The 17,731-nt window shown below is 40.7% G+C and overlaps 1 long non-coding RNA gene and 1 pseudogene across 1 annotated transcript; both read right to left on the reverse strand.

Annotated features, from left to right (window-relative positions):
* Positions 1 to 4,039: 4,039 nt before the first annotated feature.
* Positions 4,040 to 6,954, reverse strand: LOC112268469 (uncharacterized). Its single transcript, XR_002959800.2, has 2 exons — positions 6,854 to 6,954; positions 4,040 to 6,686 (listed from the first exon to the last, which is right to left on the reverse strand). It is a non-coding gene; the product is annotated as an uncharacterized LOC112268469 (long non-coding RNA).
* RN7SL335P (RNA, 7SL, cytoplasmic 335, pseudogene) lies at positions 16,145 to 16,448 on the reverse strand (annotated as a pseudogene).

Genomic DNA, 17,731 nt, shown 5'->3' on the forward strand with positions numbered 1-17,731 from the left:
TCTACTACAGACATGAATATGAATTTTACATACATATTTCCTATCAGTGATTTGGTTGAATCCATTGTTTTTGTAGTTAAGGAAATGAGGGCAAATAGATTGTAATATTCTATAGATGATACAGCAAATTAATATCAAAGTCAAGGTTATAAATTAGAATTTCTAACAGTGTCATGCTTTTTCTATTATGCCACAGCATACACACTCTCTCTTTAACACACTCTCTCATAGCACACTTTCTAACTTGGTCACTCGTTCACTTGCTCACACATACACACACACACACACACACACACAGAGATGTACTCTCGTTTTTTCTCTTAGTTAATTGTAACACAATTTAGCCCTCTCTTTCTGGAGGAAAACTCTACCCTCATAATGCATATGGATTTTACATCTGTAAAATTTATCCACAATATGAATTAAGGTAGGGATTTATTTATGGTATTTAAGTTGCAAAAAATGGCATTTGCACAGGGGAGATTCTTTTATGCAGAGCATGATCACTTGACAATTAAGTTTCTTTTCATGGAAGAATGGTAAGCATCAAAGAAATGGAAAGGTTCCTCAAATTTAGGCCTAGCTGATTTAATGTGAATTAAAAACTGAAGGGTAAACAGCTTTTCAAGTGGATAAAAAAAATTGATCATTACAGGCATCATATCATTGATTCTGTTGTTCATTTTTACTTTTCCAAAGTGTGAGATAAGCAGAAGCAATAAGCCATCACTGATGGTGTGAGAGCCATATGGTGGGGAGGTAAAGGGTTACTTGAAGAACAGTCTGGTTGCAGAGGCAGAAAGTGAAAAACAAAATGACAAGCATTCCTACAAAGCAATATATCAAGTGCAAATTAATACACGGTTACACCTTATCAAGCCACCACTTATCTAACCATCTCAACTCTGGAACACAGCCTTAAATCCTGAATATGCAAAACAGCTCCTGAACAATAAAAATACAAGTTAGAAAATGTATGCAATTTACCAGAAACATGTAATTTAATACCAATATTGAATATTCTAAGGACTCTGGCTTCTATTCTTGAGAAAGGAAAGAAGGCATTGCAGGGTTTTGAGCAGAGGAGTAGCATGAACTAACTCCTTTTGGCCGGGATCATTTTCTCTACCATGTTGTGAACAGACTGGTCAGGGAGGTCGGGGGCAATGGTAGAAGCAGGGAGACCAGTTGGGAGGTTATTGCAACAATCCAGGCAGGAGATGACAGAGGACTCCCCTGAATGCAAAGAGTGTAGTCTGTAAAAACTGGTCAGATTCTGGGTATATGATAGAGGTAGATCCAACAGGATTTACTCTTGGAATAGATTTGGGGATTGAGAGATACGGAGGAGAGAAGGATGACTCCAAATTTTTTGCTGGGCAATGATAAGTATGGTATTGCTGATAAATGAAATGGGAAAGACTATAGGAGGAGCAGTTTGGACAGTTTGAGCATCAAGAAAAAAATATATTCAATAGACTTGGTTATAAAACGTAGAACAAATAGGTGACATATCATTACAGAAAATTTACCTTTAAAAATAGGTGACTAACGATTAACAATTAAGAAATAAACTTAAGCCTTTAAAATTTTCCTTTCTGTAGAATAGATTATTCCTTCAAAAAAACCTGAAAAATGAAGCATTACACTTTCATTATTAAGAACTGAGGGGACACAAAGTGCAGGAAAAATGAGATTTAACTGGGCTAATTTGGAGAAAGTCTTCAGAAATAGTTAAGGTTTAATCCACAAGAAAGATTTCCCAGAAGACAGACAGAAAGGGCAGGCACCTGTAGGATCTTGTCAGGAATCTTAGAGATCGTGTGGCTCTCCTACTTGGAGAATTCAAGAAGCCTCCAGCTAGAATCCAAGTCTATTGATTTACAGACATAGGGGAGAAAATTGATCTGTGAAAGGCTCTGAGAGAAAGAGGAGGTTGAGCCAAGGAGTCACAAAACAAGAAAAAGAATAAATGGTTAGGCATTGGAAGATCTGAGGCCCTACTAACTTAATGGGCAAGTATTCATTTCATCTCCAGAGGAGTTGGCCAAATTGTGCCAAAGGCAGCTTTACACCCCAATTAAAATTCTCTGATTTTAAATGAGACTTCCTCTTTAAGCCTGGGAAGGGGTTATTATTCAGAAGGTATTAAGCAACTGTTCATCACCTCCAATAAGTACCGGATGTGAGGAAAAAGATAGGTTAATTCTAACAGAATTTATTGCTTGTTATTAAATCCCAGAATGAGGTCCTGAGAACAATCTGCCACCAAATTAATCTTAAGTACCACTTTGATTGTGTCATTGGCCTTTGCCAAACCCCCATGGCTTTTTGTTGCTACCAACTCAAGTCTCACTTGCTCAGATTTCTGTGGTCTGGCCCCACTGTGTCTGGGCAGACTCATCGCCCACCCTCCCTGTCCCCATGCCTAAAGTCACGTGATAACCCATAAATCCATTAACCCCTTAATCCATGAATGGATTAACCCATTTATGCATGTAGAGCCCTCATGAACTAATAATCTCTTAAAGGTCCCACCTTTCAATACTGCTGCATTGGGTGTTAAGTTTCAATATGAGTTTCAGAGGAGACAAACATTTAAACCATAGCACCTAGTAATGCCTAGATAACTCCAGGCAAAGTGGGGCCAGACCACAGAAATCTGAGCAAGTGAGACTTGAGTTCGTAGCAACAAAAAGCCATGGGGGTTTGGCAAAGGCCAATGACACAATCAAAGTGGTACTTAAGATTAATCTGGTGGCAGATTGCCAAAGTGTCAATTTATTTTATTATTTATCTAGCACTTATATCCTGCCTTGTGGCTTCATTATGTGTACACATTCATTGATCATCTCTGGTATCCTTAACATATCCCTCACAGTATCTTAGTACAGCTTAGCGAGCTATAAACAAGGGAGTGGTTATTCCATTGATCCTTTTAGAAAATAAGACAGAATGGTTTCCTATCAGTCTTGGATAACATAAAGTTCTGATTAAGAAGCAGGGAAAAGATTAAGAATACGCCTAATTAATGTTCACAAGTTTCCAGTTTGACATGCATATTCACTCTTCTTGTTGGGTATCCAACAAGACCAGTGTTATGCTGTCATGTGTGCTGGTTAATTCCAGATACTGACTTTGATGAAGTGTGTTTTTGTTTATAGTACAGAAAATCAGCAACAATTTAAGAAAACCAAAAGCACAAAACATGTTATTTTAGGCTATACATTTTTAATATATCCAACAAGTGAGAATCATATGTATTTGTAAATTAGTTAAAATTAGGAATTGAGAGTGAGGAGGACAAAAGGAGACAGTTGGGAAGGGATGAAGAGAGGCAAAACAATATGAGGCTTCCTGATAGAGAGAAGAATAAATGATTTAGTGCCAATGATGAACTGAATTGGAAATTTACCCCTTTAAAAACCATGATTAAAAGTATGAATATATTCCTCAAACTTTGAGAAACATTCGATTAAAATTAGAGAAAGTACTCTTATTTCACTCTAGGAAGTAAAAACAAACAAACAAAAACAAAAACAAACAAACAAACAAGAAAGAAAGATGGAGACCTTTGTAGTGAGGGCAAGGAAGCCATATTTCATTAGTAAATAGTGGCAAAACTGGAGATAGAATTTCAAATCTGTCCTGTAGGCAAAGTGATTGGATTTATTGATTGTACTAATATATGCCTAATTCTGCATGGCAGTACATATATTAAATTCCATTGGCCTGCAGCTGAGGATCCCTACACCAAAACACATACAATCCCTGGAACATTTTGCATTTCCCCAGCGTTGGAAGTTTTATAGATCTCTGTGTTACTGTGGTCATTTATGTTTATGTTTCATTTACGATAACTCCCTCAGGATGGATGGTCACTTGGTAAAATCATCACATTGGAAAAAACACTGATATTAATAACCTGATTTGATGTAGGGGAAAATAATGCCATCATAAGATAAATCAGCATTCCTTTCATCTCAAGTTTGGAATTCCTAACTCTATGTATGGCTCAGACCTTAGATTTTAAAAGGTCTTTTTTTTTTTAATGTAAAACCATTTGTTTAATTCTAAATCAAATCACTTTCACAACAGTGAAAATTAGTGACTGGTTAAGGTGTGCCACTGTACATATCATCATTTTCTGACTGGGGTCAGGACCTGGTCTTAGTCCACAAGGGTGGCAGGAGGAGGGTGGAGGCTAAGAACACAGAAAACACACAAAAGAAAGGAAAGCTGCCTTGGCAGAAGGATGAGGTGGTGAGCTTGCCGAGGGATGGTGGGAAGGGGGCTCCCTGTTGGGGCCAAGCCAGGAGTCCCAAGTCAGCTCTCCTGACTTACTTAGCTCCTGGCAGAGGGTGAGTGGGGACCTACAAGGTTCAAAATCAAATGGCATTTGGCCTGGCTTTACTAACAGGTTCCCAGAGTGCCTCTGTTGGTTGAGCTCTCCTGGGTTCACTCCATTTCATTGAAGAGTCCAAATGATTCATTTTCCTACCCACAACTTTTCATTATTCTTCTGGAAACCCATTTCTGTTGAGTCCATCTGACTTAAGTCCTCTCTCCCTCCACTAGTTGGGGCCACTGCACTGAGGGGGGTCCCACCAATTCTCTCTAGAGCAGAGACACTCCAGAGGCCCCTGCAACTTTGGGGATTTCCAGAAGGTGATAAAAAGAACACTCTTGAGTGGGTGCCCAGGAATGTTTAAAATCTATCAGGCACACTATAAAGCTGGTGGTTTCTTCCTACCAAGTGGATTCGGCATATGAACCACCTACTCAATACTTTATATTCTGTCTGTTTAAACACTGAACTCTGGTGTTGACAGGTACAAAGGAGAAGAGATGGGGACTATGAAGAGGGGAGGGCTTCCCTCATCTTCCTCAAGATCTTTGTTTCCACAAACTATGCAGTCATAATTGAGAAAAAGCAATAGGTGGGGCTTCCTACCATTTGTTGGTTATTGCTGGGGTTAGCCAGGAGCAGTGTGGATGGCAAAGTAAGAAAGAGGCCCAGAGGAAGCCCATCTCCCCCCAGCTTTGCGGTCTCCAGAAAGAGGCTGGATTTGTGGGATGAAGCCTAGAAGGCAGAGCAAGAACTGTTCCACCAGGTGAACAGTCCTACCTGCTTGGTACCATACTCCCTCAATAAGATTCAGAGGAAGAAGCTTGTGAAACTGAAAATCAAATCAAGGTATTGGGAAGAATAATTTCCCCTCGATTCCACAGGAGGGAAGACCACACAATATCATTGTGCTGGGGCTCCCCAGGCCCTGCCACCTGGCTTTACAAATCATCAGGGGTTGCCTGCTTGGCAGTCACATGCTTCCCTGGTTTTAGCACACATAAAAGGAGTTTTCAGGGAACTCTATCAAGCCATACCAAAATCAGGGTCACATGTGGGTTTCCCCTTTCCTTGCCTCTTCATAAAAGACAACTTGGCTTCTGAGGATGGTGGTCTTCTGCATGCAGTTGGGCTGACCTGACAAAGCCCCCAGTTTCCTGTGGCAGGTTCTGGGAGAGGATGCATTCAAGCTTCTGCAGCCTAGGGGACAGGGCTGCTTGTTCAGTTATTACTGCCTCGGAGCTCCAAATCCCACCAAAGTCCTGACTCCAGGTCTTTCCTAATGCACAGTAGTCAGTCTCAGCTTCAGCAGTATTCTCGGCTGTATGTTCTCAGGCAGAGAGAGGCAGATGCACATAGTTTTAGGGAGAAAGCTGATGGGAAATCTGTGAGTTAAGCCACATGTCTCACCAGGAATAATTTATGCCAGGAAACCAGGAAGTCATTCAAGTTGTTCTCTGAGGCCAAAGACACTGAGCACAGCCCAGAGCCAATAAAAGATCTTTGAGTCTCTGATGAATTTACGAAGTGACCCCAGCTTTAGCTACTGCAATTATGATTTTTATGGGACAGCAATTTCTTGCATCTCTACAGAGGAAGAAGAGGGGGAGTGGGAGGGGAAGGAAAGAGAACAGAGCGGCACTGGGATTTGAAAGGGGAACATCTCTATCTGAGGAGCCCCCACTGGCTTCAGAGGCAACTTACCAAGGGGTATTTAAAGACATGAAAATTTCCAGAAATACCATTTGGTGCATCCCTTTGTTTCTGTAATATTAAACTCAGGTGAAATTATACTCTGACAGTTTCTCTCTTTCTGCCTCTTCCCTCTGCAGAGTCAGGACCTGCAGAACTGGCTGAAACAAGATTTCATGGTGTCACCCATAAGAGAGGACTCAATGCCAAGGCCTGAGGTTATAGGGTGTTTACAGCAGTGGCGATACTCAGGGGTCATCGCCAACTGGTCTCGAGTTCCAAAGCTCTGATGAAGAAACAAGACTCCTTGATGTGTTACTGATCCCACTGATTCCAGGAGTCAAGATTAGCCAGGAAGCCAAACACCAGGAGTTGGGGTGGCATGTCACCAGTCCAGAGCCCTGCCACGGATGTAGGCAGGAGCCCAGCATTAGGCAATCAGGAGCCAGAACATGATCACCAGGGCCACAAATAGGAAGAGGCGTGACAGGAACTGCTCGTCCACATACTGGGGTGTCCCAGGGACAGCTGGAGGAGGCCGCCCATCATTTATATTAAATGCTGTGGCAAATATCCCAAAGGGAAATGCCCCAATTCCAAAAGACATCTGGAAGCCACCATCTCCAAATCCAAATCCTTGAAATCCCTCTGGATTGGTGTGGTTATAAGTGACTTTTTTCCCCCTCTTTTCCTTTCTGTATTTTACAAGTTTTCCTTTACTTTTATAATCAAGGAGAAAAATTGTAAGGCTAAGAAGGAAACGTCTAAAGCCATCAGCTCATTTGTAGAAGCTTCTCCTAGAATGTTCCTCACCCCTCTATTCTCCGGCTCTGGCCTCTGTCCTTGAGGACGAGGAGGGGTCTTCTCCCTGGGGTCCTGTTGCCCAGTGCTGCTCCTTCCATAGAGGGGGATGATAAAAGGTATTTAAAAAAAAAAAAAAAAAAAAAAGAGGAGAAAGCGCTCACATATGACAGTTGTTCTAAAAACTGTGAATTTCAAGCATTTCTCTCTTAAAACTAGTCCAAAATATTCTCATCACTTTTAGGAAGCTCTACATCCCTAATTAAGTAAAAAGTTCCTTTCTTTACCTTCTTCTTTTTCTTTCCAGGAAGAAAAGTCTCACTTGCTCAGACTTCTGTGGTCTGGCCCCACTGTGTCTGGGCAGACTCATCGCCCATCCTTCCTGTCCCCATCCCTAAAGGTCCAGTCAATCTGGCTGCCACCAGTCTTCAGATATTTCTTCCAGAAAAAGAAGAAGGCAAAGAAATTTTTAAATTTAATAAACTTTATTCTTGTTGGTGGAAGAGGGAGGGGAAATAAAAGCCACCTACTCCACTCCTCTCAATAAATTAAATAACACATAGCCAATTCCCAGACCCTAAGCAAACCTTGGGCACTTGAGCCAGTCCCACTGTTTCTTTATGGCCCAGTCTGCTTCTTCTTCACAGAAGAGAGTTTTTCCTACTGCTGCCAGGTTATGTCATGACCACGGGCCACATCCCCTCTATGGAGAGGGTCCCAGGCCCAGAGAGGATGTTAGGGGTGGCCAGGGAAAGGAAGAAGGGGATGCTCTTCCTCAAAGATTGGGGCAGAGAGGACAGGTCCTGGAGTAGAGCTGTGGCTGACTGTTCCTCCCTCCTCAGCTTCCCCCAGATGTGGGTACAGGAAGAGCAGGAGAGTAATGGATCCTTTCTTCAGGGAGTATCAAGAGCCCAAAGGGACCCCTAGAGCTAATGAGGCCACCGAGAAAAAGTTAATTTAAGGAATTTCAATTCCTTAAATTAACTAATTGACAAAATGCCATGTTTTGTGGAAAAACAATGATAACATCAGTTATGGAATAAGGAAAGAACCTAAAATATTCCATTGCAAATAACAAAATCTACCTTCTTTAGGTTGTTTTCTGTTTTGTTTTGTTTTGCTTTTGTAGAGATGGGGTTTTGCCATGTTGCCCAGGCTGGTCTAGATCTCCTGACTCAAGTTATCCACTCCACCTGCCTCAGCCTCCCAAAGTGCTGGGATTTCTGGTGTGAGCCACCACACCCAGCCTAGGTTGTTATTCTTATAAGGATTTTTTTTTTGTCCTTGTGAGGTATCATGTGAGTGTATGTGTGTGTGTTTAAATTGATTTTTTGAGTTTTTGGTGGTGGTGGTGGTGGTGTTTAATCGGCAGCCTAGATGCTTTTCCTTGTTATCTGATGTGATAATGATAGAAATGTTAGATGACTATGATAGAGATACTGGACCATAAATGTTATGCTAATCTCATAAGAGTAGTTACATGTAAATAACATGCACAACTAAGTACACATGGTGCTTGTATTGGATTTTACATGAATTAAAATGTCTTAGTGTCAGATATCCCCATCAGAATTAACTTTCCCCTTAAGTAAATTCCTGTGACACTTGAGTGTCTGTTATGGTTTGGCTCTATGTCCCCACCCAAATCTCATGTGTAAGTGTAATCCCCACGTGGTGAAGGTGGGGCTTGGTGGGAAGGGACTGGATCATGGGGGTGGTTTCTAATGGTTTGGCGCCATTCCCCTAGTGCTGTCTTGTGACAGAGTTCTCACGAGATCTGGTTGTTTAAAAGTGTGTGGCACTTCCTCCTTCACTCTCTCTTTCTCCTGCTCCACCATTGTGAAGAGATGTGCATGCTTTCCCTTAACCTTCTGCCATGATTGTAACTTCCCTGAGGCCTCCCAGTCATGCTTCCTGTTAAGCCTGAGAAAATGTGAGTCAATTAAACCTCTTTTCTTTATAAGTTACCCAGTCTCAGGTAGTTCTTTATAGCAGTGTGAGAATGGACTAATACAGTGCCCATCCAGTTTATATTACAGACTGCCTCATTTTCCAGTAATTTGTAAAGGCAAAGGAAATGTGGGAAGCCCCACTCAACAGCTACTCAACCCAGAGACGCTAAGCTGGGTTGGGAGTTTGATGCAACCTAGGTTAATGTTTCCTAATGAAAAAAAAGAAGAAATTGTAAATAGAAATTTTCGCTCAGCCATAGCAGCTGACAGGGGTCACACCAACTAAGAGAGGCCAGTAAAATTGCCTTTGTAAAGGGGAAAGAAGAAAGAGGAGGGAGGGCAATGCTTAGAGGAAAGTTCAGCAAAGATTTTAAGAGAAAAGGGATGGGGGTCAATGAGAAGAGGACCAAGAGAAAGGCGTTATTTTCATGCATGTTTAAGGGGCATGCATTAACTGAGCCAATGCAAGTCAAATTAGATATGTATTGATTAATGTTAATTCTATAAATAAGATAAAAGTGATCAAAGAATGAAAGAAAAATTCTGGCCAGTGATGACTACTTTGTAATTTAGATAATTTTACTTTTATATGATTCAAGACTATCCCTTAGACAAATAGTTATAGTTTCAGAAGAACCAAATTGGAATGCTCCGTGTTTCACCCATTTAAAAGCCTGATATTTATGGTGCTGGCTCAGCTCAGCCCTTAATTAGTAAGCTTGAATATTTGGTTCCCTCAGTGGAGTGTGTCACTTTTACCTATTGATCCTGGCTTTGAAGCTAGACTACCAGAGCCTGGGATGGATCTGCCTTTAAGTATTAGGGCTTTCAATCTTCTAAATTATTATGACTGGGCTCTATTGACTTAGTCTATTGGGGGAGATTCCTATAGGTGCCTTGTTACTGATTTTTGCTCTCTCCACCTACACTTTAATTAATAGAGTGAACACCTTCTGCTTAGTAAGAACAGTCCTTCTCACAGTAAAATCTAATTCTACTCTTAATGAAAGTTTAATGTATATTCTGTTACATCCTGTGACCTAGCAAGGACAGAAAAATTAAAAGTAGCAGGATGAGATAGAATGTGAAATACTGCAAGATGGAAATCAAGGAGTCAAGCTGCAACTAGGGACTCAGATCCAACTCCAAATGGCAGGAAATTCAGCCAAGTGATGGTGCACTGTATCCAGAGAGAATAGTTCTAGAAGGCTCTGGTTATCATCAGAAAAAAAGAAGAAATAGGAAAAGGAGAGTAGGGCAATCATTTGTGTCATATCATTTCATTTCTTGCAAAAGCAAAAAGATCTAGTGCAAATACAGCAAAATATGAAGATTTATTAAATCTGGGTAGTGGGTGCATATATATATGTAATAAACTGGTGGTCCTCAAGATGTGGTCCCCAGATCAGCAGCATCAGCATCACCTGGAAACTTGTTAGAAACGCAAATCTCAGGCCTCACTCTAGACCTACTGAATCAGAAGTTCTGGGGATAAAACCCAACAACTTGTGTTTTAACAAGCCTTCCAGGTGATTATGGTACACACTAAAGTTCAAGAACCAATGTAATAGAGTATTCATTCTCTCTACTTTTCTATATGTTTCTTAAAAAAAACAATCACAGTAGTAATGTGAGAGTCCTGACAAGGGGAGTCGGTGGAGGGCAGCTATGGAGAGGGGTTCAATTGGCCTGGCCATCAGCAGAGTTTCAGAAATAGGTCCTTGGTGCCCTGCAGAGTGAGAGATGGGGTGGGCAAGGGCTGGGTTAGAACAAATCAGTGAAAGCCATGACTGTTGTCTAAAAGGAATGGTGCTGGGCAGGATAACTGCGACAAAGTCTCGAGTACAGGATATTAAGGCAAGGACCTTGTTAGCAAAGGACATGCTGGTGTTACCAAGCAGGGTCTCATTTCAGCACTGGACTAACAGCATAGCAAGGCTGACTTGGCGCTAAAATGCTTGGGCCACAGAACTCCCTTTCCTTTCTCCCTCTTTCACTTCCTACTCATGGGACTCCCTTCATTCTCTTTCTCCCTCCTTCCCTTCCCACCCAGGGTAAACCAAAGGCAAAACTGCAGGGGAGGGTAAAGGGGCTTCGCAGCAATTGGAGGGTCAGACCAGCCAAGAGTAAGGCAAACTGATGCCTTTAGACAACACTTCTTCCTGTTACCAAGGTGCCCCTTTACTTGTCTATTTCAGACTTAAGCAACGAGAAGACAGCTAATATTTAACATAATTTCAACTGTATAAAACATAGTATATAGTTTTAAATGCACAGAATAAGTTTTCCAACAATCATAACCATGAATTATATTTCACAAAACCTCCAAGTCTTCAGATTTGGCCTGAATTAACCCAGATGTTTTTCTCATATTTTGAGTTTCTCTTATGTTGTTATTCTCTTATGTACACCTTCTTTCATCCCTGAAAGTTCTTAAAGCTCCTGGAGGTTTAATGTGCTGACCTAGAGCTCCCTGCCAAGACATTAGTACTAATGGCCCAGTCTGAAGAGGTTGCTGTATTAAGACATCAGTGCCTGATGCTTGAGTCACATTTACCTTGCTCAAGGATCCCTTATTATTTTGCCTCAACAGTGGATGCTGAGAAGGAAAAAAAACATGCAGAAATGCAGAGAGCCAGAACTCTAACTTTTTAACATTGCTTTTGAATTTAGTACAAATGGCACATCATAAACAACAGTATTTCAACACACTGAAGTTTATAGAAACTAGTTGAATTAAGTGTTTTATGTCCTCAAAGAGCTAGCACACCCTGGAAATGTTTACATTGCAATTCTGTCATTTACAAAAATGTAGGAAAAACACCAAATCGCCTCACAGGGATGTCTAAAATCTCTAAGTTCTACTAAAAGGCAAAGTATATCATTATACTAAAGTTCTACTAAAAGGCACAGTATATCATTATACTGTGCTTAAATGATAATCAAGGTACTCATTTCAGTTTCTTTCCTCCAATACAGCAGTAAAATTTCCCAGGAAGCATGCCATGTGGAATTAGAAGATCTAGGGAAAGTAAACACGTTCCAAAATGAAAATTCCAATTTTGTATTAATAAAAATTATTCTGAACACAAACATGATGATAGTAGGTGTGGTAAGCAGAATTAATGCTCCTGGGAAGATGGCCACATCCAGATACTCAGAACCTATGAATATGTTAGGTCACCCAAAGAGAGGTATGATGGTTGTTAATATGGAGACTTTAAAATGGGGAGAGTATCATAGATTATCCAGGTAGCCCCAATGTAATCACAAGGGTTCTTAAAGGGGAAGTTGTGGGAGGGCAGAAGAGTGACAGCCAGTGAGATGGCAGCAGGAAAACTCAGCCTGAGGCTGCTGGCTTTGAAGGTGGGAAAGGGCCATGAGCCAAGGACAGTGGGTAGCCTCTAAAAGCTGGAAAAGGTTAGGAAATGGATTTACCCCTAAAACCTGCAGAAGGAATGCAGTCTTGCCAACACCTTGGTTTTCAACCAAATGAGACCCATTTCAGAATTCCGACCTTCAGAACTGTAAGATAATAAATTTGTGTTGTCTTAAGTCACTAAGTTTGTGGTAATTCATTATAGGCAATAGGAAACTAATAGAGTTGGTTTCTGTGAGACAGAGTAGAAAAGCCAGAATCTCTGCTTTCTAAGACCTACTTTAGAAACTCATCTATTTTGAACACTGCTAAGAGGGAGGGGGCGCAGGCAGGTTTCCTGTAGTCATACAGGGCAGGTTCTTCTCTCAATCTCTCTGGTCGTGAATCTTCCCCTACAAGAGAGAATTCTGGAGGAAAGTAGAGCTGGGTTATGGAGGTGAAGTCTGAGCACTGACTTCTTAATTTATAAATAAGACATTTAGGTCACATCATTTCAAGAGAAAAACCAGTTCTCTCTCTGAAGTGCCAGGTGGTATAATAAGAACTATATTTGGTCTTTGTCCCTGGTTCCTAGCACAAAGCCCCTAAAGCCTTTAGAAGCTCCTGAGTGATAGGAGGGTCTTTTGTTATTCATAATAAGTTCCTTTGGATCACATGTGAATTTATGCTAATGAGATGACTCAGGGTGAGGCCTCTAGTTAGCCTCAACATGGAAATGGTCACCAGAAAGACCAAATGATCAGAGGGCTGGAATTTTCAGCCCTATCCACCAACCTCCAGGAAAAGCACTGGAGATCAAGCTGTATAAAAACTCTTCAACAAGAGGATTTGATCAGTTTCCACGTTGGTGAACACATCAAGGTGCTGGGAGGATGGCATGCCTGGAGAGGGAACAGAAGCTTCATGTCCCTTCCCCATACCTTATACCATGTACCTATTCATCTGGCTGTGTTCATTTGTATCAATTATAATATCGTTTATGACTGGTAAATGTAAAGAAAGTGTCTCCCTGAGTTCTGTGAGCTGTTATATCAAGTTATTGAACATGTGGGGTTGTGGGAACCCAAAATTCATAGCCAAGTCAGTCAGGAGTGTAGGTAACCTAGGAGTGCACTACTTGTAATTGGCATCTGAAATGGGAAGGAGTCTGTGGGAGGGAGCCCCGAATAACCTGTGGGGTCTGCACAAACTTGGGGTAGTCAGTATCCAAATTAAGTTAAATTCTAGGACAGCCAGTTGGTGTCCAAAGAGAAATGGAGAATTCTTCACTGTGGAAAACCTACACATTTGGTGGGTGTCAGAAGTGTAAGTAGAAAGAGTTTTCCTTTTATACCTTAATTCTATCAATGAGATAAGGTTATCTAAAACATGTGTAGACTCAATTATATTCATCACTTCAGGTTTTAAAAAGCCTCAAAAATGTAAATCTGTATGTTGGTTAAAGAGTGAGGATTTTGGATATTCTACACCATTTCATTGTTTGAAAGGCCTATATTTTCCATATGAGAAAACACCTGAACTTGATTCATAATTCCTCAAACATGGGGCTAAATTACAACCAAGAAGAATTTAGGTGGTCAGTATATGGGTGTTTACTATAAAATTAGGAAATTTGTATAATAAAACATTGAAAAAAGTATAACCAAGGAAGTTACTATAGTCTGCCTGGTTTTCTGAATATGAAATGACTGGAAGAACAATAACTGCTAAGGGAGAAACTAAGGTTGTGTGTCAAGGTGAAGCTCAACAGGATGGGATAGTGTGATGTGTGCAAGGGTGAGATATCTTCCTACGGTAGAGCACTAGTCTCTAGCTGCCCCTCATGTGATTCTGCTTCTGAAGAATCCACAATGTTTCAGCTACTATACTTATTGAAGAATGAATGAATAAATGAGTGAGTGGATTTATATGCCAGCTTTTGACTGCTTGTATTTATTTATTCTACTCTCTATACAGCCGGGAAGTGGGAAAATACAGTGGCTGCTGATGCCCAATACATACCTGATTTGCATTACTCCATCCATGTTTGTACTATCATATAGAGAAGATAAAGCTGTCTTTTTGGAAAAACTGAAAATGTCGCTCTGACAAAAATTCTCACACTAATGAGATGAAGTAGAAAGAATTCCTTCAGCATCTAACAACTAAAATCCATTAACATTCCTAAGGAATAATAAAGATTTTAAAATGTCAACCTGATAAAAGTGAGTTTCTGACTTAGACTGAGTTGTAAAAACATGAAAAACTGACTGAAATGATCTGCACGTGTCATCCTTGCATTTTTCTCTCTTTACTCTTCAACTCATCTTCCACTTAATTTTCTATTTGTACAATTACCCAAGTTCTGATATCAACTCATGTGTCATGAGTTTCTCCCAGTGGTCTTATGTTTGAATGAATTGGGATTGGCTATCTAAAATAGATTGACCAATTTTCTGAAGCAAGAATGAGTTAATCTTTCAATGTATATTCCCCCACCATCTAAAACTAATATTACAGCAGAGATTCACCTGAGGGAGTATCAGAAATAACAATAAGAGAAGAATACAGAGAACTGGTTTCCAGATAATAACTACTAGCGTATTTTTTCCCAAAGTACTAAGAAATTTTAAATAATTAGGTGAAATAGTTCTTAAATAGAATAAGTTATTCATGGAATGTGCCTAACAACATATAGTATTTGAAAGTACCTATTAGATTAGTGTAAGATCACTTAATTGTCTTGCCAAAATAAAAGTCTTGGGAAGAATTTATCCTTTCTTTTTTTTTTCCTGTCCTGAAAGTTTTGGCCAAGTTGAGTGAAATAATACATTTCCTACTTTCCATTTCCCATGATGCTGGAATATTACCCAGGAAATAAACATGATTGAGTCTGTTTGTTTCCTAAAGCCATGAGAAAAATGTGGACCACTTGGAAAGTTTCACCCAAGGGAAAAGGCTCATGCTGAGATCATTGATGTTGCAAACGTGTTTGGTTACTTTTCTCAAGAGTCCACTTCTGATCGCTGGATTAGGAAGCTTGCAGCCCATAAGAAACAGCCTCTCGTCCAAGGTCAACAGAGTTGGGAAAAAGGACTAAGCTTAATAGATTTTCTCAATGTCCAAGGATGTTGACAGTAGCAGAAATATTGCACCCAGCCTTCTACCTATGTCAGCTCCTTTGCAAGGCATGAATTTGATATTTGAAGTATAATTTACTTGATGCCTTCAACCTAATAAAAAATTCACATTAATATCTTTCTCCTACTCCCCCAGCTGCCTTTGTTTACAGTTGTGGCCTCAGCTCTCATAGAGTTAATTCTTTGTTTAGCTTGCTTGCAGTCAGTCAAATTTATAAATAAAGTGGCAGACCATAAAGGATTTTTTTGGACAACTGCCATCATGAGAATAGGGAGTAGTAGGCAGAGCCAGAAAATAATGGTGGAGAGAAACAGGAGGAGGAGAAAGGAAAGGGAAGACTCAGGGACAAAGGTGTCATGAGGAGCACGAACACATGAAAAACCCAAGATGGGTTAGGGGAATCAACAAGCAAAACAGTCAGGATATGGATCTTTTGCAAGGTGCAGCAGAAGAGACAGGGTATTGAGTTTGATTACTTTCTAAAAATAGCTCCCATGGCCAAAAGATCAGGAAACTGGCTGAGAAGTTAACTGGCTGAGAAGGCAGAATCTATAGAGGATAGTGAAAAATTCAGATGAGTTGTTTGCATTATATCTTAGTATAGATGCTATAAACTTTGAATTAAAAAACTAGTGATTATAGAGTTAAAATGAATACTTACAATGCTTTCTTGAAAAAGAAAGCTCTAGAATCTTCTTCCTTCTTTTGAGAAAGCTGTGCTAGCTCCTTTATTAGTTTCCTTGTTCCTCATGACACTGCTTTCTGAGTTTGGCTTATTTGGAGCTTTTCACCTAGCTAGGATTGCATTTGCTTTCTGGGGTCTAGGATCTTTCTTTTCTTTTAAATTTTTTGGGAGCATGGGATCTTGCTATGTTGCCCAGGCCAAAGTGCAGTGGCTATTCACTAACTAGATCCCACTGCTGATCAGCATGGGAGTTTTGACTCACTATTTCTGACCTGGGCCAGTCTGACCTGGGCCAGTTCACTCCTCCTTAGGCAAACTGGCAGTCCCGGGAGGTCACCATATTGATGCTGAACTTAGTGCAGACATCCCATCGGCATAGTGTACTACAGCCCGGAATGCCTGGGTTCAGATGGTCCTCTCTCTCAGCCTCCAGAATGGCTGGAACTACAGGTGTGTGCCACCTTACCCAGCAAGGCTCTTTCTATTGGACATTTCACACTTCATCTCATATCTCCCTGTCTTCTTGATCAGGTACTCTCTGCCTGCTACTGGCTTTTTCACCATAAAAAATTTCAAAGAACAAAGGCAAAATCATGGCAAGTCTTGTTCTCTTAGCAGCTCATAACATTGCAATAGCCCTAGAACTCAATTTAAAGGTCATTACTATTCCTAAGAGCCATTTGTTTCCCCATAGGTATCCTTTCTGCCCCTCCCCTTCAGCTATTAAAAAGCCTTTAAGTCTATAGGCCTCCTTGAGTTACACTTTTCTGTGAATTCCTGTATGTATTGAAATCAAATTTTGTCTCTTCTCTTGCTAACCTGTCAGTTTAACTCACACGCCCGCAGACACAAAACCCACGAGGGTAAAGTTTCTCCTCTCTAACACAAGGCATTCAGTATGAGCTTTTTGGATGTCCTACCACCACGCAGACTCAAGATAGCAGTGTGTCTGCTCATCCACTGCTCCATCCTACACTGGTCCTGGCCCTCGTCCTTACCACTTCTCATGGGCCTCCCTGTCTGCTTGTCAACCTCTTTTTAGGAAATATTTAAGATTTAGTCCTGGATTCTCTTTGTTTTTCCTTCATGGATTAGCAAATTCTAACAGTGGCAATAGTTAACATCTCACTGAACACTTAAACTTAACCATGCCAGGCAGTGTTCCTAGTACCTTCCATAGAGCTTAAATAACTTGCCAGAGTACGAAACCTCCAGAGGGTGAAGGGCAAGTTTTCCCTTTGCCCTACAGTAGAAATTAATAAAGTCTGAACATAAATGTGTGCAAAAGAATCCAGAAAATACTTCACAAGCAAAGCCTATTAGAAACCGAGGTCAAAGCGGCTGTGAGACCCAGCTGGTCTCTTCCATGCTTCTTTCTCCCTGGCTTCTCTGCTTCTCTCCATGCATCAGCCGCCTCATCCCCCTGCCCTCCAAAAACTGGTTCTCTTTGCTTATTCATAATTTGAGCCTATGTAATGCCAGGACCACCTCTACATGACCTCCCAGGTTCAGGGGTCACCACCACCTGGAACAGTGTTTCAGTCCCACAATTTGAAAGTCCCTGAAAAGCAAGCTGACTCACCTGTTCATCATTTCTCACCCAGCTTTTAGGAGAAAACCTGTATTTTTTCTTATGTTGCTTTAGAATAGTTTGCTGTGTGTCGCTCTGAGGTGGAAGAGTACAGGAGTGAATATTTCCAGCTTTTTACTATCCTTTAAATGTCCCTTGTCATGGGAGGTCCAATGTCTTATCT

Source organism: Homo sapiens, chromosome 4, assembly GCF_000001405.40.
Source record: "Homo sapiens chromosome 4, GRCh38.p14 Primary Assembly".
Classification (NCBI taxonomy): Eukaryota; Metazoa; Chordata; class Mammalia; order Primates; family Hominidae; genus Homo; species Homo sapiens.